Source organism: Homo sapiens, chromosome 14 (assembly GCF_000001405.40).
Source record: "Homo sapiens chromosome 14, GRCh38.p14 Primary Assembly".
NCBI classification, from domain to species: Eukaryota; Metazoa; Chordata; class Mammalia; order Primates; family Hominidae; genus Homo; species Homo sapiens.
In genome coordinates, this window is record NC_000014.9 from 26546138 (window position 1) to 26570749 (window position 24612).

General features: G+C 33.3%; 1 protein-coding gene across 13 annotated transcripts in view; it reads right to left on the reverse strand.

Moving 5' to 3' along the window:
* NOVA1 (NOVA alternative splicing regulator 1) overlaps nucleotides 1-24612 on the reverse strand; it is a 154944-nt gene that overhangs the window by 103048 nt on the left and 27284 nt on the right. For 4 of the 13 annotated variants that reach the window (NM_001366390.2, NM_001366391.2, NM_001366395.2 and 1 more), the window contains exon 3: nucleotides 3543-3644. The exons of 8 other annotated variants lie outside the window; for them this stretch is intronic. The gene's annotated coding sequence lies outside the window, so the exon portion shown is untranslated. Of the gene's footprint in view, nucleotides 1-3542; nucleotides 3645-7174; nucleotides 7294-24612 lie in introns of those variants that run through there. One more of the 13 variants, NM_001366398.2, reaches the window with a different exon arrangement.

Below are 24612 nucleotides of genomic sequence, written 5' to 3' on the forward strand. Positions count from 1 at the left end.
CTAAAACATTTAAATTCAAATTCCATATATTAGTCTAGGAATATAAATTATATTTTGGATAATAAGAAATGGTGTATAAAATACTAAAGCTTGATTATCAAATGAAGTAACTCAAATATTGACCACTTAGGATAAAAAGAATTGTCCACCTAATCCTACATTGAAAAATCATCTCCCTATTGCTTACAGTAAAACATCTGAAGGTGTTTCGTCTCTCTAACAAATAAAATTTGTTCAGATAAATCTGATAAGAAAAATAATTTTTAAAAAATTATCTATTTGAGAGGGATATAAAAATATGTACCTAATTTAAAAGAGTATTTTGTAAAACTGAGAACATCTGAGAATTTAAAATTATGGACTAAAATTCTACTTTAAAATGTATGTTCTTTAAAATTAGTTTAAATTGAATAAATTCTGCAATGAAAAATATATTGCCATATAGTTTCCTATTTTCTCACCAATTTCACTATTTCTTCAGCTGGTTCTAGTATCTCTTCTTAAAGCCTCTAATGGAAAGCTAGATGTTGCCAGGACATTATCACAAGAGGTCTAAGTATTTATCATTCATACATAAGTACTGAAAAATTCATATAACTTGGCCGGGTGCAGTGGCTCACACCTGTAATCCCAGCACTTTGGGAGGCCAAGATGGGAGGATCACGAGGTCAGGAGATCAAGACCATCCTGGCTAACATGGTGAAACCCCATCTCTACTACAAATAGAAAAAATTAGCTGGGTGTGGTGGCACATGCCTGTAGTCCCAGCTACTCAGGAGGCTGAGGCAGGAGAATCATTTGAACCCGCGAGGCAGAGGCTGCAGTGAGCCGAGATCGTGCCATTGCACTCCAGCCTGGGGATACAGCGAGACTCCATCTCAAAAAAATAAAATTAAATTAAATTAAATTAAAATTCATATAATTTATGCATTTGCTTCATTTTTCCTATTACAAATAGAAAATTATAATGAGAAAGGATGAAAAATAAGTATTTCCTTAAAGTTTAATTATTCATAACCTATAATTTATTTCTGAATTCCAAAATTATTAAGTGAGTGCTAATTAAGTAATAATCCTGCCCACAATTCTGGCCTTTCACAGTATGAGGAAGGCCCTTTGAAAATCACCAATAGAGATAAGAGGTATCTGTTTTATGAAATGGTGATCATCTCTAAATAAACTAAACAAATGTTCCAAAAAATTAATTTAACTGAAACACCGACAGTTTATTTTTGATTACACAAGCAGTATATTTTCATTAAATTCAATAATACAGAAATATATTCAATAAAAAGTTCCCATCTGATTCTTTTTCAAATCCCATACACTATGGGTATAATAAAATACAAGATTCATATGGCTAAATATTGAATCAAGTAAGTTGCCAAACTTCTATCATCTACATAAAGTCTAAAATATAAAAAATAACTTGTATAATTTAAAAATAGATACCAGGACACACAAAGCAGGTATAGTTTGTGCCTTTTCAACCAAAATTTAGTATATAAAACATATAATCTATTCTGTCAAATACTGATGACTTCAGTAAATAAAATGAATGGGATTAAGTAATACTTACAATTACACTGTAGAAAGTGCCAAAGAATCAATTATAGCAATTCGAATATTTCATATATTGATAAAAATACTCTCTTGGCTAGAGATACATAGGTATATTACGTGTAAACTGTAAATTTTTAAGTATTGACATTTACTTCTTTAGTGCTTTGACTATTAAATGAAATACTAAATCTATGCAAGTAAAGAGGGTAAGCCTCATTACAATATGAGTTTTTGGTAACCTTTAAGTAAATTTCCACTCAGTGTAAGTAAAGCCTTTTATTCTTACTCACTTTATGCTTCCATGATGAATAAGATACTAAGAACTGTGCTGTATTGTCCAAAGATTATATTTCATAACAATGGAGTTATCTACACTACAAAATTAGATAGATAATTAAAAATCTTTGTAGGAAATCCGACCCCCTCTATTGATTCTAAAACATTATCACTCAGCATTTAATTAACACAAATAATATTCTAATTAGAATAAAGTCACTTAAGCCCAAATATCTTGGTAAGGTACAATTCTAAATACATACACTACTAACCCTGAATTAAAAGGAAAACACTTAAAATGTCCCTAGAAAATCATTTCTTCTACCTACCTCATTTTACAAGTAAACAAACTGTAGAATGAAGTTATTTTTTATCTGCTTTGACTAAGAATATATAAACATAGATATGTGCACATTATAATTTAACTTATGACACATAATTTAAAGTTACCTAAACCAAATGACACCATATTTAATATGATTAAGACTCTGTGAAGTTTGAGATTCTAATTTCTTCACATAGAACAGTCTATAAATGTAGCAGAAAAGAGATAAAATGTCATACTATTGACTAAAAAAAAACCCTAAAATAACAAAATATAACATTCCTTATCATGTTGTGTAACAACAGACACAGCTGTTTCTAATGATATTTCTCTATTTTATAAGGCATAAACATGCCAAACTATTACTAAAGACAGCACTCTTATAAAAGTGCTTTTACAAAAGAAAATCTCATTAAATAATTAAATGGGAGAGACTAAAACTACAGTAAGCAGAAATTCAAATATTTACTGTTCCTTCTCTTCCCCACTTTTTTCCCCAAATGTTAAAGAAAAAAAAAAATTGAGCAGAGCACAGTGGCTCACACCTATAATCCCAGCACTTCAGGAGACCAAGGCAGGAGGATCGCTTGAGGTCAGGAGTTTGAGATCAGGTTAGTCTCAAACAGTGAGACCCTATCTCTACAGAAAGTAAAAAGAAAAAAGAAAAAAACTAGCCAGTTGTGGTAGCGCATGCCTGTAGTGCCAGCTTCCAGCTACTTTGATAGCTGGGAGGCTATCTTTGATACTTGCAAGGCTGAGGCAGGAAGATCGCTTAAGCCCAAGAGGTTGAGGCTGCAGTGAGCCATGATCACATCACCATCCTCCAGACTGGGTGACAGAGAGAGACCTCATCTCAGAAAAATTAAAAATAAAAATAAAAAAGAAGTCAAAATTGGTGTTTCTAATCCTAAGAATCAAAACTAGTTCATCATAAACTGGCTTTGTTGCAAAACTCCAAAAGAAAGTATTAAAACCAAGACATAAAACACTGGAAGCAAGGTTAATTAAGACGTTCCTGTTGAATTACAAGTTTTTTTTTTTTTTTTTTTGCTATTTTAAGAACATGGCTCTGAAATCTTATAATATTGATTTGGTTACTTAAAAATATTTAAAAACAATATGATTAAGTTCCATTCAAAGTGAAGAATATTGATAAAAGCATTTTAGTTTCATTTGCTTTTAGAATAAAAAGGAGTGCATCCATCTATTTGTTATTTAATTTTGTACCAATCAGAAGACCTTAAAATAAAATTTAGAGCCAGGGAGAGCAGCACTAAGTTTAACTGACCTCAATACACTTTTAGATGATGTTTCCCAGTTATTTGTTATTTTCTCTTATTGGGCTTTCCAGTCTAGGGCAGGTACACAAGAAACTTACAGTCTATGTAGTACTCCTAGTCAGTTTCACTCTGCAGATGGCACAGTGGAGAAATACCTTCTGTACAGCACCATGTACAATTTCTTCTGCAGCTGTCAGCACCTAGGGGAAAGTGCGCTGTTAAACAGTTGCTGCGTTCCACCTCAGAAGTGGCTGCAATTCGGTGGTGGGTGAAGTGACTCCTGTACATACATACAGGGATGAAAAGTACTATAGAAAATGAAAATATATAAGAACAAAGTGGCTGTCTGAAAACTTTGCCACAGCAAAACAGAATACATCACTCAGTCACAAGAGACCTACACAGATGGGCTGTCATTCATTTAAAAATTGAATGCTAAGAATGGTTGCAGGAAACGTAGAAATATACTTACTCAATTCACAAAATAACAATAAACCAAATGTTAAAACGTATATGTTAAAAAATAAAACCCAAATACTTATATTGATTTATAACATTATTTCTACAGAAATTTACCTAAAACCGGGCAAACATATACAACAAGATTCTTTATTCTGCTCAGCTAATTATTTTTTGGTTCAGATGAGAATTCAAGGGAGAAAAAAACAAAATAGGTAAGACATCAAAACTGAAGCACAAGTACCATAAAATATCTAAAAGGGATTTTTAAAAAGTTATTCTGAAATTCCGAATTACTTTATATTTGAAAAAGAATTTTTTGAAATTAGTCCTCAACAACTACTGATGTTTTATAAAAAGACAACTTTTCTTCTCCAAAATCAAATTAAGATAGACCCTAAACACAGTCTTCATCCTTAGCCCATATAAAGAATGAATCAACCAAGTTTGAGATCACTTTAGCTCATTAGTACAGAAAATTATTACCACATTCTGCTTTTACTACAACAACCTGTCCACACAATTTATCTTTGATGGAATCAGAAAATCAAATTCAATAATTATTCTCTGAGAAATATCACTGAATCAAAAGGCTGTAAGGTACTATCTCATCTCCTAGCTCTAGGCACAGCTACTATGTATATACTACTCTGAAGAGGTAACTTTACATTATTCAAAATATTCACACCTAGGTTTCTTTCTGAAACAGACTGAGGGTGCTTTGTGACAAAGTCCAACAAACCTGACCATTAGCATACCATAAGTCAAACTTTTCTGAATCTCACTTCCTAATTAAATAGAATTTATTTGATTTGGCATATACTCAGTGGAGTTAGAGATAGCTGACAATTTCCTTTCAGCTTTCTTAAATTCTTTCTATAATAAAGCACAGTGTAAATATATATTATTTTCCTTAAGTGACAAGATGTGGCTCTTTATTTTAAAAGACATAGACCAGAGATTCCCAATCTAGAGTCCACATATGAAATTTAAGAAATCTAGGAATTCTAGGAAACTGCATACTAAAATAAAAATACATGAGTCCATACATACATTTTCAGGGGAAATGGGCCATAAGATTTTGTTAGGTTTTAAAGGGCTCTGTAACCTCTCATGTAGTTTAAGAAACTTTGATGAATTATACTCAAGAAACCCAACTGAACAAGCAGAATTAATCCTTCTAAAATTAAATGTGTAAATGAGCAGCTGTTTCTTCTCATGTAAAATGAATAATAGTAACTTGAAGGGATAGTCCAACTACAAAATGAATTAATGCATACCAGACACATGATATAATACCTGGCCTATTATTACCAGTAATAGTAATAATTGTTCAAAAGAGCTACCTCAAATAACTTTGGGATTCCACCTTTGTTTACTGCTACGTAATTTCATAATATTATTTTTGATTTAGCCATGTCTTCTAAAATAGATCGATATCACAAACTATGCATTTCTGCATTATTTTCAAAATAAAAATGTTAAGTATAAGTTTTAGAATCCTGCCACATACCTATGGATTCTGCATTTCTCAAAAAGCCACACTGGTCCCTTCTCACACACTGTACTTACTTGGAATAGAGTCAGATATAATAAACATTTTGCTTTGATTTTTATATAAATAATGTCATTTCATTTATCAGTCTTTTATTTATATAACAGTATACAAACAAAAAATCTAAATTTGAAGAATCTAGCAAGGGATCACATTTTTTTAAAAAGTAATGCACATAATACTTTTATTTGTATGTATCATTTTCTCTACTCCTTTTAGGTATTTTTCTGTAGATATAAAGATATAATAACCATTCATACATACATATCCTCCAAAAAGAAAAAGATTATTCTCACCTTTAAAATAATTCACAATATTACAAAACAGTATTATAAAACAGTGTATGCTCCTCAAGACTGTGGTGACTTAAATACTCATTTATAAAATGACAAGTAAATTCTTAACAAATCCTAAAGATACTCAGTGAGGAAAAAGACTTGCTAATACATATAAATTAATAGCATACAACAACTATATGGGTGGTTCCTAACTACTTCAAATGTAAAGAGTGTTTTCTACTCTTCTCATAGTAGAAGTTCCATTAATGTATTCACACAGTGAAAAATATATAGCAGTAGGTTTTATGTAAAAAGGCACAGAAGTAAAGAGAAGCATAGTTTAGCATTCAGAATACTGCAATGAAAAGGATGTGAGTGGAATAGAGTTCATGTAAGAACCACGGAGAGAAGAAGAATAGGCACAGGACCAATTATGTTAAGGAATTTTCGAATGTTTTACCCCAATAGTGGCATTTAAGTAAGTATTTTATAAAAAAATAATTCTAACAGCATAGAAAATCAATTAGAGGTATGGATGATTCAACTGGGGTGATGATAATGGGAATATGCAGTTAGAAATAATAAAAGTGATAAAAATTAAAATTATACTATGTAGAACACTGGAAAAGTAAATAATGTAGGATAAGTCAAATATATTTTCTAAAGATTGAATCTAATAGCTAGAATTCATTAATTCATTTATTCACTCAACAACAAAAAATCCATTGTTTCCTATGGGTCAGGAACTATTTTAGGCACTGAGTAAAGTGGTGAACAAAGAAGTCAATGTCCTGCCCTCTTGAGAATCATGTTAATGTAAGTGATATAACTAACTATTAAATATACAATTTAAGGTATGAAAATTAGTGTATAAACCAAAAATAAAGCAAGTGATGGGAAGAGAACAAATATACTATTTTAAATGTATTCAGAGAATACTAAGGAAGCAGCATTACTTAAATGAAGAATGAATGAAGTGACTCTACTCTCTGGGGTTTTAGAATACCACATACAGATGGCAGATGGTAGAATGATAGCAAAGCTCTGAGATAGGAACATGCGATCAAAAACTTAACCTGCAGTCAGATCACCTGGGGCCTTCCAAGCCATAATAAGGACTTTGGGTTTGTTTTTTGTTTTTACTGTTTTAGAAAGCCATTACAGTATTTTGACTGAGGGAATGATATAACCTGTTTAAAAGGGTTACAACAGCAGCTGTAGTGGAATGAACTTCACTGTAGCTAGGAAGAATAAAACTACTAGGCAAGACAGGTAAAAGAACATAATGAGATATCAGGTAGCACTTTTCCAATCGCCCAGGGGCTGGCAATTAGAACCGAAGGCTAAGAACAAAGGCATCTATCAAGTATTTTATATTTGGAAGACAGACTTAAACAAATGAGAGCCAACTCCACCTCCATAACTTAAACATCTTTACCTTCCTTAGTTCTTCCTTATCCAGAAGTGCCTTCTCCTGTCCCCATCATGAGGCAATCATCAGAGTTTGCTTCACTGACTTAATGTAGCTGAATAGTGCTGTTGCTGAGAGTCCAAATCAAGCGAGAGTTCATCTAAAAGATTAGTAAGAAGGGAAGACTGGTATCTCACCTCTCAGTTGGACCTCTGCTTGTGTGTTAGAGTTGCTTATTATCCCATGCCCACTTCCCTTCTCTGTGCCTATTTGAAGAGAGGGAGAAAAGACATGGAGTTGGAAGACAAGGTACAGATAATTGGACTCCCTCTCTGCAAAAGCAAAGAGTGTAGTGAATGTGAAAGTAGCTGGACTTGAGCCTCCAGTTGATGGGGACTCAAGCAGCCAGAGGCTATGAATATAGTGGAGAGGTAGAAATTGAGAAAGAATAGAAAAAGACAATTCAGAAATGGTTGGTATGACACTCCAAAAACAACCCCCATGCTCCCCACCAAAGTTTTGTACATGTACCTCATCAGAGAGCTAGTACTCCTCTCCCGTCCTCATAGAAGGAGGACTAGGCCGGGCCAGGTGGCTCAAACCTGTAATCCCAGCACTTTGCAGGGCTGAGGTGGGCGGATCACTTGAGGCCCCGGTTCAATATCAGCCTGGCCTACATGGTGAAACCCCGTTTCTACTACAAATACAAAAAAAACTGGCTGGGCATGGTGGCATGCACCTGTAATCCCAGCTGCTCAGGAGGCTGAGGCAGGTGAATTACTTCAACCTGGGAGGCAGAGGCTGCACTGAGCCAAGACTGCACCACTGCATTCCAGCACGGGTGAAAAAAAAAAAAAGAAAGAAAAGGAAGAAAAAGAAAGAAAAGGAAGAAAAAGAAAGAAGGAAGGAAGGGAGGGAGGGAGGGAGGGAGGACTAGTCAGTGTGAGGCAGTGGAGCACAAACAGAAAAAAAGGGAACAAAAGGTACTACTTACATAAGAAAGCCTTTTCCCTTTCCACCTTTCCCCTTACTTCATCAGCACACAGGAGGAGAAATAGGTATATGAGAAAAAAAAACAAAACAAAACAGATCATTCTCCACTCACTGGATTGAGCAAAGAGAATGACTAGACTTCAACCTCTTCCAACACTCTATAATCTCCTAGAAAAGTCCAAGTCATATTGACTGAAAGAAGAGAAATTGAGTTATAGGTTGGCTATGAGGTTAAATTCAAGTTAAACTGACTTTACTACATTAAAGTCAGATTAAATTGAAGTGCTCAGAAATCTATGACATCATCTTGAGATGAGTAAAAGAAACAAAAAAGAGTGATTTGACTAATCATAAACAAAAAAGGTCACACTGGAGAAAAATAAAACCACTCCATGTTCCCATTCCCACTTAATTCACCATCCCAATTCATACTGTATTATAAAATGGTTAGTACCAATGAGGTAGTGATTTTGACTATTCATTTCTCTAAAACATTCTATGAATACTAGGCTGAATACCTAAATTACCACATTCTTATTTATTATTCTTAGGAACAACCAGCAATTACCTAACTATGGCTATTTTGTGGAGATTTCTTAGCGTTTTCCTTGCGTATAAAAGCTACAGAAATATTTGTCTATTTGTAAACAGTAATATTAAGCAATTAAATAACATGAATATGTTTCGTGCATTTGTAGAAAATACTAGGTTTTACAGAAGCTAAAACATAATATCTCCTAAATAAGACACCAAACTTAGAAGCTTGTAGATCAAAAAGGCTCTACAGAAGGAAAGACTAAAAAAGAAAGAAAAAAGAGTTTAGATGGATTCTTGTTTTATAGGAACACTTTCAATATTCATGTTGCAGTAACCTAAAATACAATTGTAGAGAATACTTTGCTCTGACTTATAGTTTAATAACAGAATCTTCCCCTAAATGGAATCATGCTCTCTCCAGGCATTTAATAGTTAAATTAAAATTTAATGGGCATTCTCTTAAAAATCAGGCAATTCCTTTTAAATAAATTAAGGTATCAGTATTTTACATGATTAAATTATGCATGGCCTTGTCTCTTTTTAAATGTCACACTTTTGAGAATACAGAATCCTATTACATTGATGTTTATAACTGTTCATGTAATGTTCTCATTCATTTAACAATCACTCATCATCCTAAATTATGACATGTATATTCAACACATATTTTATCAGTCATTCCTTCTCAGAGGTACAACACACTGAAGAGAAAGTGTGAGTCAAAAATTACAAAACTAAGTTCTAAATTTATACGTTTTTTCTACTCTACTTTCTCACAGGATGTAGAAAGAAATATCAGTTACAAGTAAATTTTAAAGTGTAAGAAAAATCATGGAAACTCAATTCATCCAAACTAACACGTTAATTCACTGTTAGTTAATAATATCAACCTACATAACTTGAAAACAATCAAGTTGTGATGAAATACCTCTAAGCTTTTCTAGCATAAGTAATATTTAATTCAACAACAGTTATCACTTATGTCAACCAGGAATAAATAATCTGCTACCGTAATTTGTTATCACACAATTATTGGGGCTAGTTCTAAGACTTATGTTAACGTTTCTTACAATTGTGCAAAAAGTGGTTGTTCTAACACCAAAAAAATAGAAAAAGTTCAATATAAAACTAACAAAATATGTTCATGTGCTATGTGAGAAGAACCACAATATTCCAATGAAAGAAATCAAAGACAATCTAAGTAAATGACCTATTTCATGTACTCAGAGAGGAAGACTCACTGTTGTTAACATGTCAGATCTTCCCTACTTGATCTATAGATGCAATGCAATACCCATCAAAAGTCCAGTGAGTTATTTGGCAGATATCAATTAACTGATTCTAAAGATTTATACAAAAAAAGCAAAAGGCCCAGAATATTAAAGGAAAAGAACAAAGCTAGAAGACTGACACTATCCAACTCAAAACTTTACAAAACAATAGTAATCAAGACAATGTGGTACTGGTAAAATAACAGACAACTTGATCAATGGACAGAACAGAAATAAAGAAAGCCCAGAAACAAACCCACATCAACATAGTCAACTGATTTTTCACTAAAGAGAGGAGGTAATTCAATACCGCAATGATAGTTTGTTTCAGCAAATAGTGTTGGAACAACTCGACATCCACATGCCAAAAAATAAAAAATAAAATAAAAAACTAATCTAAATACAAATCATAAACCTTTCACAAAAATTAACTCAAAATACACCAAAGATAAAACTCTACAACTCCTAGAAGATAACATAGGATAAAATCAGGGTGACCTTGTGCTTGATAATGATGTTTTAGATACACCAAAAGCAGATCCATGTAAGAACAAAATTGATCAGCCGGACTTCATTAAAATTAAAACTTCTGCTCTGTGGAAAACACTATTAAGAAAATGAAAAGGTAAGCCACAGATAGGGAAAAACACATACCTCATAAAGTACTAGTATCTAAAATATCAAAAAAGCACTCACAATTCAACAATTAGAAAAGACGGACAAAAGGTCTGAAAAGACACCTCATTAAACAGATAAAATGATGTCAAAAAAGCGTACGAAAAGATGCTCAATATCTTATGTATATCAGGACTGTTATAACAAAGTACTACAAACTGGGTGGCTTAAGTACTGGAGGTTGTAAGAGGGAATAAGGTGTTGTCAGGGGTGATTTCTTTTGAGGATGTATCTTTCCAAGCCTCTCTCCTTGGCTTGTAGATGGCAGCCCATATTCCCATGGCATTCTCTCTGCATGCACATCTCTGTACACATTTCTCCTCTTATAAGGATACCAGTCATAATGGATTCAAACTTACTGCAATAACCTTCCCTTAACTTGATTACATCTCCAAATAAGGTCACATTCTGAGGTACTGGGGTTTAAGACTTTAACACATCAATTTTGTGGGGACATAGTATCTCCTTAGGGAAGTGAAAATTAAAACAACAATAAGATACCATATTACACACCTATTAGAACAGCTAAAATCCAAAACGCTGACATCACCATATGTTGGGGAGGTTGCGGAACAACAGAAGGAAATTGCTGGTGGGAATGCAAAATAGTAGAGCCATTTTGATTTTTGTGACAGTCTCTCCTTGTTGCCCAGGCTTGAGTGCAGGCTGCTCACTGCAGCCTCGACATCCTCCCGGTCACAAGCAATCCTCCCACCTCAGCCTCCCAAGTAGCAGGGACTACAGGCACATGCTACCATGACTGGCTAATTTTTTTTTTTTTTTTGTATTTTCTGTGGAGACGGGGTTTCGCCATGATGCCCAGGCTAGTCCTGGACTCCTGAGCTCAAGCTATCTGCCAACCTCTGCCTCCCAAAGTGCTGGGATTACAGGCATGAGCCACCATGCTCAGCCCACTACAGCCATTTTGGAAGACAGTTTAACTGTTTCTTACAAAACTAAGCATACTTTTAACATACAATACAGCAATCATGCTCCTTGGTATTTACAAAAAATTAATTAAAAACATATGCCTACACGAAAACTTGCACACAAAAGTTTACAGCAGCTTTATTAATGACTGTTCAAACATGGAAGCAAAGATGCCCTACAATACAGGTGGATGGATAAAAAAACAGTGATACATCCATACAATGGAATATTATTTCACGATTAAAAGACATGAGCTAACATGCCATAAAAAGACAAAGAGGAACCTTAAACGCATCTTGTTAAATGAAAAAAAAAAAAAGGTCAATCTAAAAAGGCTGCCTACTGTATGATTCCAATTAAATGATGATCTGGAAAAGGCAAAACTATAGAGACAGTAAATGTCAGTGGTTACCAAGGGTGCCTCGGAGGGAAAAAAGGGGAAATGGACAGGTAGAAAACAGGGAGGTTTTCTTTTTACAAATCTTATATATATATATATGAAAACATATAAAAATGTACAACGTAATGAATGAATCCCAAGATACATTATAGACTTCAGTTAATAAGAATATCTCCATTTTGGCTCATCAATTGTACCAACTGTACCACACTAATTGTCCAAACTTGGAAGTAAAGATGTCCTTCAACACAGGTGGATGGCTAAACAAAGTAGTTAATAATAAGTTGTTAATAGTAAGAAAAACTGTGTTAGGAGCAGAGGGAGTTGGGGCAAAAAGAAATACATGGCAACACTTTGGACTTTCTGCTCAATTTTTTCTGTAAACTTAAAACTGCTCTAAAAAACAGTCCATTAATTAAAGAAAAGTAGCTCTTCTACTAAGAAGGTCAGGAAGCAAAGGATTTAGGATAATTACATGGAAATAGAAGTAAACTAAAAAATTAAAGTGCAAAAATACTGTTTTCTCAGTAATAGTCAATAATCCATGACATACTCTATGACAAACTATGACATAAAACTCAATAAAAGTATAATTTCTATATAGGAAAGTTATTTTTAAAAATGGTTTAGACAGGTCATTTTGCAACATTTAACAAAATACTATTTTCATTTCAGAAAGCCAGATAATGCCTTAGACATAACAATATTGATACATAAGGTTATATTTTTAAAAATATTCAAACCATACTTATATCATTCTAAAATACTCTAGCCTACATAATTATATTAGGATGGAATAAGGTAATATTGTTTGAGCAAAGTAAAACAGAACACTTCTGATTAGAAGAACACAAGGATAATTTCCCCTCCTTGCCTACATATCATGCACCTCGCTTGGATGCAAAAGAAAACTTATAGGGAGAAGATCATTTTATATTAACTTTGAGATAAATTTTCAACAAGAAAGTAGTAGTTTTCTACCCTTTAAAGTTAAAAAAAAAGTTGCGATTATTTCTCTGAAGCATGTAGATTCATCCATACTCCTGGTACGATCACTACTGTATATAATGTTCCTATTTAATTTTCCTTTGTCACTTCTATGGCTATAATGCATCTTTCCTAAAAAGAGAAATAGTAATCAAGTTTAGAAAAATATAAAATATACTGGTAGCCACATTAAAGAGTCTCGTTAAAGTCCGTTTGGGAATCCAACAAATGTGGAATTTATTCTTACCGTCATCATTTATTGAATACTGGTTAGTATAATTCTGAGAATGTTATTTAACCACCATTTATAAAAATGGGATAACTGTAAAGGTTAATGCCATTCTAAAATGATGTAGACAGGTTTTTTTATATGAGATCCTCTTATTATTAATTGCTGTTGACATTTACAAATACAAATATCAATGAATGATATTCAAGATAGATTCTATACCACATACACATGGAAGTTTATTCAACAATAACAAAGAATGAAATCCTGTCATTTGCAGCAACATGGATAGAACTGGTAGTCATTATGGTAAGTGAAATAAGCCAAGCACAGAAAAAACAAATATTGCATGTTCTCACTCATATGTGAGAGCTACAACCGTGGATCTCATGAAGACAGAGAGTAGACTGCTGGTTATCAGAGGCTGGGAAGGGTTGAGTGGAGGGATAAAAAGAGGTTGATTAATGGGTACAAATATACAGTTTGATAGTGTTTGATACATCAGTAGAGTGACTTTAGTAACCTTTTGTATATTTCAAACTAATTACAAAAGAATAGTTTGAATATTTCTAGCATAAAGAAAGATAAATATTTAAGGAGGTGAATATCCTAATTACACTGATATGATCTTTACAAATTATACAAAATGTATTAAATTATTGTAATATATTACATTGTATGTATTAAATTATTGTAATAAATTATTGTAATTTAATACATTTTGTATAATTTGTAAATATGCACATCTACTATATATCAATTAAAATATAATGTTTAAAGACAGATCACACACCAAACTGATATCATGACTCTAAGACTATCTCCCTACTTTAAGGATGCCTGAAAGGTACATGAATTTTTTAGCACTCTTTAAAAAAATGTCTATGATTTGTCATATTTAATAATACATGTCTTTAAATAATTTTCTCAAAGGAAAAAGATTATAGTTGATCTACCACAAAGTTGTGGAAATGTGTTACTGAAATCAGTAATTGTATAAATTTAGTAAAATGAAGCCTTTATTGAATAAGAAAATATAAATTTACTTTCTGTCTATGTCACATAAAGAAACTGTCAAAGTGGTGTTCTATAATTTCCTGAGGCTTTTGGGGATAAAAATCAAGTAACAGCAGACTTCCTCAATTAATAGAAGAATTAGCTTAAGGGATAAAATTGCCTCGTTTTGAGATTTTTATCTAATTTTCAATATGTGATAACTCCCACCAGTTGCCTATACTATAATAGAATCTATCAGATTTTGTATAAAATTCTATTAGCCTAACGTGGTAGTTGTAAGGACAGACTTTGGGGATGGAATGTAAGGAAATCTCATCCCTGACTCTAATTGCATAGATATTAGAAATATATATATTTACACACATAAACATATATACATACCATACACACACATTTACATATAAAAAGGAATACACACACACAATGTGGGCAAATTAATCTTTGTGCCATCTTTTCCTCATATATTTATTGTGAACTAATTCAGCTGATACATGAAAAGCATGTAGTTTTAACCATCTCTGGCTCACAGTAAATTTCATATAACTATTATTATTACTGCTGCTGCTTTAACCAATGTTGAATTTAATATACTAACATGTCCAGTGTCCTGAAGAATATAATTTCCAAATGCTCTATTACAGCAGAAGACAACATGGTACAGGGTGGGGGGATGGTTTTGGGATGAAACTGTTCTACCTCAGAACATCAGGCATTAGTTGGATTCTCATAAGGAGTGTGCAACCTAGATCCTTCGCGTGCTCAGTTCATGATAGGGTTTCCGTCCTATGAGATTCTAACGCCACTGCTGATCTGACAGGAGGCGGAGCTCAGGTGGTAATGCTAGCTGGCCCCACAGCTCACCTCCTGCTGTGTGGCCCAGTTCTTAGCAGGCCACAGACCGGACCAGAGCAGGGTTAGGGACCCCTGCCCTATTACTTGAATAAGCTGAATAAGTTTGAGGACTACTAACATTGAAACATAAAAAGCACAGCATTTTAAAATACACTTGGAATTTTTAGATCTTTTGTTACTAAATACTTTGAACTCTCTTGATTTTGAAATCTATTTGCATGTCATATAAGATTTGTGAGTAGAGGTAACAGAAATGCATCCTATCACAAAACTTCTTTATTCTTTAACAGCAGCAGCTGACACAGGAGAATAATTTCCTGCTTCACTGTGCTGACAGCACATCGTCTAGATTCAGAAATTATATCCTCAGCAGGAAGGCAATAGGTTTCTATCTACACTAAGGAAAGAGAAGAATAGAAAAATTACACAAAACAGAGGTGACTTACTATTATCATAAAACAAACTGTATTGAACATAGTTTTTTTAAACTGGTAAAATGACACAAATTATAACTAAATTTATATTTTAAATTTCAAGTATTTGGCTAGAATGTTTCTTAAAGAAATAAAAGTTTTGTCTATTTATAATGTTTAATACTTCTAAACAAATATTATATTTCTCCTACTCTCAAATTTTTAAACAAAAAAAATTCTAAGATCAACTAAAACATATTAGTTTTCTGATTTTAATCATTCCTAGTGTGTTAGAACACTATGTCCTAGTTCAGTCAGTAAATGCCAATTCTTTTAAAAAAATATTTAGGAGAATGGTGTTAAGTGATAATCGTTTATATTAAAGTTTTGTTCTGTTACCAGAAAAATTACTCTTCACTCTATAAGTTATAATTTCCATGTATTTGTGTATGCTGAATATTTATAAGCTGCTAGGTTTTTGTTTTGGTTATATGAAAATCTAGTGACTTGCCTTATTGGAAGTCATTTTTAAGGTGTCATATTAGTTTAAGTAACTCAGATGTCTAAAGAAGTATGTATTGTAGGCTTCTGGTCCATATTAATAAACTAAAAGTATCAAGACCTCAGGTTCCACAAGCAGTTCCTGGATTCAAATCTTTCTGTCACTTACTAGCCCTGTGAAATTGGTCAGTTACTTATTCTGCTTCCTCATTTGTATAATAAGGATAACAGTAGTATGCGTTTAATGGGATTGGTTTGAGTATCAAATGAAAATCTATACAAAAGCACTTAGAAAAAGTCTAGCATATAGTAAGGCACTCCACAAATGCTAGCTAGCTGTTGTTTTTGCTGCTAAGTATGGCAGATGAGCACACATATTAAACTCCACTCCCTTCTGAAACATCACTAAAATGGCAAAATAGTATAAAAGCAGAAAGACAAGGAGAAGGGTGAGGGAAACAACAGCAAACAAGAAATTCAACATCGTTTTGGAAAATGAAAAATTGAAGCAGAATAACTAGGAACACACTCTGCACAGAGAGGAAGCTGAAAACTAGGTAACAGAGAATGCTAATATCAACAGCAAGATAATTTGCCTAATGAAACCCCAGAAAGACAGCGATAATGTTAGCGCTGAATACTGAGGGAACTCTAAAAATCTATATACAGAACATTTTGGCACATAGGTTTACTACCCTACTTTACATATTCTCTTCTTTTCTCCCCCTTGAAGTTCAGAATATTAGGTATCTTGACCCAGAAATGTTCCTGAACTACAACTACCAGGCAAAACAGAGAGGAGTCAAGGGACAAGGTTAAAATGGACAGAAGCGGTTCCTAAATATTGGCAGGCAGATATACACCATGCAGAAAGAATATCTGAAAATCCAGTAGTGAAAGTTTAAGAACTCAGATAACAGACATATAGCTACCGTCATACAGAATCCCTAGCTTTTTGCATGATCACACTAATGAAGCTATCTAAGCAACAAGTCTTGCTAGCAGACACACAGCTTTCAACCAAATATGTAGCACCACATTAAGCCAAAGCTTTGACAAAACGTCTCCAACACAAAAGACTAAAACCAGAAGAAAGAAAGAAGGAAGGAAGGAAGGAAGGAAACTCAGAGGAAATACAATACAAAGAGCAGAAGCAACCTTAAGGCAAAACAATTAACATCTTCACAGACATTAGAACTGATGGTTACAACCACAAAATAAGAACAATATGTCACATTAAAAAAAAAAAACAGTAATAATGGGGGCAGGGGAAGTAAAAAATCAGAGAAACAGTAAGAACTTTTAGAAAATGAAAATAACTGAAACATTCAATGAAAGAAAAAGTTTAGTAAGTCCCTGAATAACTACAATTTTAAGATTTTTTTAATGAAAAAAGAGAAGGAAAATAAGAAAATCAGAAGACAAATCCAGATCAACATAGCCCTATGATCAGTGATACAGAATAGTAAAATGAGAGAACAGAACAGAATGCCTTCATAATTCTGAGGCAAAATTATTTTCAGCCTACAATTATATACATAAGCTTATATTCAATTAAATGTGAGAATGATGACATATTCAACTATGCAAGCTTCTATGACTCCTTTGTTAGGATGCATGTGAAAAATATATTTCTATAAAACAAAGGATTAAAAAAAGTAAAAGCAAGCATTGGATTCAGGAAATAGAGGATCTAGCACTGGAGAAACAGTATAAGCTCTAGCCTAAGCCCAAGTATGGGCTTTATGAGCGTTTTCAGAGATTTATTCTGTTTATATACAAAAAACTCAAATAACTTTAGACCTAAAAAAGCCTTCATCCGGTGGTTTTCAGGTTGTATCTGAACTAGTTTCTTCTAGTCTTACATATAAACTTCAACTCTGTGATGTATGCACTATTATTTTCATCATTTTACAGATGAGAAAATAAAGTGTGTATAGCAAGACAAGTTAATAAGTGGGAGTGGAAATTTTAACCCTGGCAATTTAGTTCCAGAACCCATGGTCTTTAGTGTTTTGCTCTACTATATGTATTATAAACCTATTGAACACAACATATTGTCTTTAATTATCTGGAAAACACTTCAGGACCTCATAGGGCCTGACGTACATAACTTCACCATTTCATAAAAATTGTGGATCTTACAAACCATGGTACTTCAGATTTGATGAACTTGTAGCTAACGGTACTAACAGCATAATAGCACTTACAACGCATCAGGCACTATTCCAATTGCTTTATACATATGTATTAATTCAGTCCTCACAACAATCCCATGAGGTGGGTACAGTTATTATCCCTACTTTACACATGAAAAAATGGAAGCACAGGTTAACTGGCTTGCTGGAGTTCATGTGGATACTAAGGGGCAGAAACACAGGTTAAGTAGCTTGCTGGAGTTCATGTGGATACTAAGTGGCAGAAGGCTCCAGAAACTGAGTTTTTAAATATTATACAGTACTGTTAAAGGTTTTACATACACCATCACTAGTTACTGCTCCTCGCGATAGACAAATTAACATATCCATTTTTATATCAGGAAATTGTAAAACAGAGATCAAGGAACTTGTACAAAATTCACAGAGTTTGCAAGAGACAAGACAGAAATTCAAACCCAGTTCTGCCTCACTTCAAAACCTTTGAAATTGGCAATAACCAACCCTATTTTACTATATAATATATAAACAATATGGTTAAGGACTTTTTTAGTTGTAAAACTATGTCCAACTGGTAAGTCTCATTTAGTGTTTCTGTGAGATAAAAAGATACACTTAAACCTTTAAGTACTCTACCCAAAGTTTAAATACATTTGTGGAAATCTTTCTAAAATGTATCACACATATACCTAACTTCTTAAAATGTAATGAATACAATTCAAACATATCTTGATGAATCTGGTTCATCACCATGATGAGCAGTAATGACTCTGTGTGGGAAAGTAGCTACAGGTGTAGAGAGTACAAGATAAAACTTAAGAGCTATTGAAGTCAACAGGAGTCCTGTAAATTTGAAAAAGACCATGCTGAGAGAATTCACTTTTGTAGTTGGTCTTCGTCTCAGAAAGAAAAACACAATAGCTGCTTGACTTCACTTCCTATCTACACTCACTGTACTTTTATACTCCTGCAGTTTTGTAAGAACAAAATGTTACCCTTTTTGAAATACAGGTAGGTATTTGAGTTATCATCAGCCCCCAAAAGAGACCCTGTGGAATTATCCTATGACTTAATGGATTTCTGGTATCTCACAGTGCCTAGAAGTCTATCGCCCATCCCATCCTTCAAAGTCATAAAGACATTCTTTCGTGTCCCTCAGATGACTCTTCTGTTCTCTTGTACCCACTGCTGTCCCAGTGTATTCCCTAATTCTACAGTCCACCACTCTCTTTCCTTTTCTTTCACCATTTTTCGTTTTTTGTGTATGCAGTCTGTCATTTCTTGGCTTCCACGTAAAAAGACAAAAAATTCGGTGTGATATGACAGCCAAAAAGTGGCAACAAACTTGATAGACAAGAAAAAGATGGACCATGGTTCACTTATTTTTGTAATCTAGCCATTAGCACTGTGCCATACTATAGACTAAATGATATTGTGTGGAATCAAACTAATTACATAAAATACAAGCAAATCACCAACAAATGGATAAGCTAACACCAGTACCACCACATTCTCTCATTTATTAGTTTTCTTTTTAATCTTCTTTAATCCTTGATTAGTGCTGAAAATGTGACAAAAGAAAAAAGCAAGAGAATGCAAACTGAATGGCGTTCTTAAATAAATACTTTACAAAATGGGCTTTCATACAGAAAAAAATATAATGATTCAGAAAAGTGATCTATGTTTGTTTTAAGGGTATTTAAATGAGGAGAAAGAAAGAGAACATGATGCAATTGAAAGATAGGCAGGAGTATGTTTCATGGCAAACAAAGGGATGAAAATATAATTTGGATACTAAAATTATATGAATGATGAAATATTCCTTCAGAGTCGTTGTAAAATAAAAGACTATAAAATGCTATAAGGAATGCATAACATAACAGCTTAGCAAAATCTTAGAAATGCAATGACAAAAGAGTTCAAGCACCGTTCAAGGTTACTAAAAGATATCGTACATAACACCAGTCACAATTTCTAAGGAAATGTCATACTTATTTAACGCTATTAACAAAACTAACTTATCACTAACTTCAAATTCGTTTTAATTTATTGTCATCAAAATAATAGTTACCATTAATAATCAAGCATACACAGAGTATATTTATATACATATATACATATATACTAGTTTGGCTCCAATGATTGTAAGTGAGTACCTTGGAAAGTGATTTAATTTTTTGTGCTTCAGTTGTCTATCTTTAAGAATACATCCTTCTTCATAAAGTTTTTGAAAGAAGTAAATAACATATACACAGTGTGTTGAATATGGCTTTGAAAATAGTAAATGTTCATTAGTTAACTATTATTATTATCATTATTACTATTTCACTACATCTTCCTTATCATCTATTAGCCTACCTCTCAACTAATAAGGCGATAAATCCCATAATATGGCCAAGGCTACAGATGCAAAAATTGTAAAACTAAAAGTAAAATAACATGTGCTAAGAAACAGAACCCACCATAATCTTCTTTCTCACTTGGCATTTCTTGTTGACAATGGCAATTTCTGTCATCAATAAAAATTGTGGAAAAACGGAAGTCATCATTATAAGGAAAACATATTACTATGTTAGAACACAGCAAAAATAAATGCATTTACCCATTTTTAAAAGGCTAAATGCTACTTTTTAAAATCTTCCTTAAGAAATCAATCCTTAGACAAACATTCAATTTTTCTCCCCCTCCCCTGCAAAAAGCTAGAAGCTGGGAATACCGTTAATATCTTCAAAACTACTTGGAAATACCTTTTACATAGGATGAGCACATAAAAAACATGAAAATGGAAGAAATAACTTTCATTTTCCATAAAAACACTTGCCTTCAATCAAACTCACCTTTCCCTAAAAACTGTGCAAAATGATGCCAAATTATAATCCAAAAACCAATATATTAAAGCATATACTTTGGGTTTAAATTTTTAAATCCTATAAAAATAATGTAGAGTATAATCAAATTTAATTGTAATTCATAAAAACTGCCTTCAGAAAAATTTATAGTTTCTGTTATATGTATTATCCTATAACATTTAAGTGTCTTGTTTAATTTTTTTTTTTTTTTTTTTTTTTGAGACAGGGTTTTGCTCTGTCACCCAAGCTGGAATGCAGTGGCGCAATCTTGGCTCACTGCAGCCCCGACCTCCTGGGCTCAAACGATTCCCCTACCTCAGCCTCCCAAGTAGCTGGGACTACAGGCACGCGTGACCTCACCAAATAATTCTGTTTATTTTTTGTAGAGACAAGGTCTTGCTATGTTACCCAGGCTGGTCTCGAACTCCTGGACTCAAGCGATCCTCCTGCCTCAAGCTCTCAAATTGCTGGAATTATAGGCATGAGTCACTGTACCCGACTGTCTTACTTGATTTAAATAGTTTGACAGTGGTTAGAGCATCCCAATCTGGAGAACAATAATATCACCTCCATTTTTCATATAGTTATTCTTCTGCACCTGTTTCATTTCTAGTCTTCTGCTTCATTAACTTTCCATTTCCTCAAATACATTAAATCTGAAATAGTCATCTCAATATGCTAACGATCTGATAACATTTTAAGCAACTTTTTTATTGCTCAAGATAAACTAGTTATGCTTTTAAAAAATAGTTTTTCCATTTGGTTATCAACAAAGCTCTCTGAACTGCTGCACCTTTACAAAGCTTAACCAATATTACAGTCATTTCTGCCTGTATTTAAAACATCTGAAGAGTTTCTTGATATTTACTGTGTGATACCTCCCAACCAAACAAAAATACTGATAGGACTGATAAAGGATAAAATCAAGGAAAAGATAACAATGAAAAGGGAATCTTGGGAACTGCTGGGATCTTGGGAAAAGGTAGGCCAATATATTAAGATAATAAGAGAGATTTAGGTAAAACAGAAAATGTTTTACAGTAGGTTTTTAACACATATTGCTAACTACTCTTTACAATGTAGTAACTGTTATTAGATCTTCTTTCTCAAAATTCCTATCAGGTAGTAACCTAGAATTCCATTTCTTTATATACACAGTCATTCATATACAAAATGAACACTACCCGGGAACTCAAGTATTTATGAGAGAAGAATTTAAACCCCATAGAGGCAGTGCTATACAATGTACAGCATGGACTCTGGAGTCAGACAGACTTGAGTACACATCAACCTTTTCACCAACTGCATGATTTTGGTCAGCTTACCTTATTTCTGAAATGGTTATAATAGACGTATATATTTCCAGGGTAGCTGGGGAAAATAAGAAAATTTTGTAAACAAACAAAAAACCTAACATGCTTTTTTATGTCTGACAGTATAAGCAAGGAAACCCAGCCAATTCTCCTGCCTGAAACAACTATGTCACAGAAAAATATTAAAAACACATTCTTCAATGGCATCTGTTAGCTGACCAGAAACTAATAAAACCTAAATAAATGCAGGAACCTGGAAGAGCAACTAGAGCATGTAAGGGGACATTTACCTTGAAGTCTTTTGATAAACCAAGGTAATATGATCTTTTGTCTATTGAACTTCCTGTTCCAGGTGGGCAGCCTGATGAGAATCCCCAGTAAATACTAACTTTAACCAGCTATGCTGTCATTGTAAGAGTAAAATACGCCCTGATCCTCTGACAATTCCTAACATGCACTTAGAAGGCAGGAAAAAATTATCTGGGAATTCATAACCCCAAGTTTGCCTTCAAGCAGATTTTCAGCATGAATTCATACCTGGTGGTTAAAATAATCTCAAGCCAAGAATTTAGATTCAAGTTGTTCCCAACTATAAATGACAACTAAACGCAAAGCCAAGCCACTCTGAAGGAAACCACCTTTATCCTAGGATTCAAAAAATTCCCTCAGGTAAATTGCTAAGAAAACTTAACAAACATTCACCAAACACACAAGGAAGCATGGTGGCAAGAGTGAGAACCAGCAGAAACAACACAGAGCAGAACTGTCAGATAGAGTATTTTAAAATAAGTATTCTTAACACATTTCATAAGAGGTTTGAACATTTACAGTAAAAAAAATCCGAGAAAGGGTCAAACAGCACTTCTAGATTTAAAAAATATAACTGCAATTAATGAACCTTGTAAAGTATTTTGAATACAGAATATCATAATGTATTTTAATTCATTTATTTCCCATTTTCCTCCTCAAAACACAAACATTTTGATTAAATAGGAGCAGCAAATTTGAATTATTTAAAAATCTGATTTACAATATGCATTTATCTGTGGCTTATTAAATATTTCTTGGCAACAAACCAGACCATTAAAATATTAACAAAAACAAAGAAGTAGATGTGAATGATACGTTAAGAAAAGTTTCCAATGTAATTTTTTAAAATTACATGTTTCTTGAAATCTTACTTGCTTTATCTAGAAAATTCTGTTTACCACAGAAAGCAATTAGGTAATCCTTAGATCTATATATACAATTTATCAAAAACTTCAAAGTGGCATAATCAAAGAAGCAAAAGTGGCCCATTATTGACAAATAATCACACCCAATTTCAACTTCTATAAACTTGAGAGCACAGTCTAAAACAAATTTCTAGTTGAAAAGAATCAGTGCTAGCTTCTTTCAAATCTTTACTTCTTCAACAGCATACTATTCCTTAGTTTATATTATGATCTTCACTTTCACTATCATAAATAAAACAAAACCTAAATAATTTTGAAGTTCTGATTCAATGCATTCTTAAACAAGGGGTCAGTGCTTTTGCTAGATGATAATTCTGTATCTTCCATTTCTGGCTCTTTGCCTTAAAGGGTCTCTAAAAGTAAATGCTAAGAAAGTTAATAGAAGGAAACCATCTGCTTATTCAAATAAAAGTATAAACTAAGGCCGGATGCAGTGTCTCATGCCTGTAATCCCAATACCTTGGGAAGCAGAAGCAGGCAGATCACCTGAGGTCAGGCGTTCGAGATCAGCCTGGCCAACATGGTGAAACCCTGTCTCTACTAAAAATACAAAAATTAGCCGGCAGTGGTGGTGGGCACCTGTCATCCCAGATACTTGAGAGGCTGAGTCAGGAAAACAGCTTGAACCTGGGAGGCAGAGGTTGCAGTGAGCCATGATCGCGCCACTGCACTCCAGCCTGGGCAACGGAGTGAGACTCCAACTCAGAAAATAAATGAATAAATAAAATGTATAAACTATGAAATTAAAAAAAAAAAACTCAACTGAACAAAGTAATCCATCCTCAACTGCTGTGGTTATAGTATTAAAAATCCCATCAATGGCAAAATTGCAGTTGTCAATATGAATATCTCATGTGAACAGATTAAGGAGAAAACAAAAAGGGTTATCTAGCATCTATATAACACATTTGTATATGTGTATGTGTATACATATGTGTATGTGTACTGTATGTGTATACATATGTATATGTATACACACATGTATATATGCATATATTTAAAACCAATAGATAAAAGTTGCAGAAGGCAATTGTTCCTAAAACAACACATAAACTACTCTGGTAGGTCAATCATTTCCTGAATTATCTTTTAATAGGTCATGAAGCA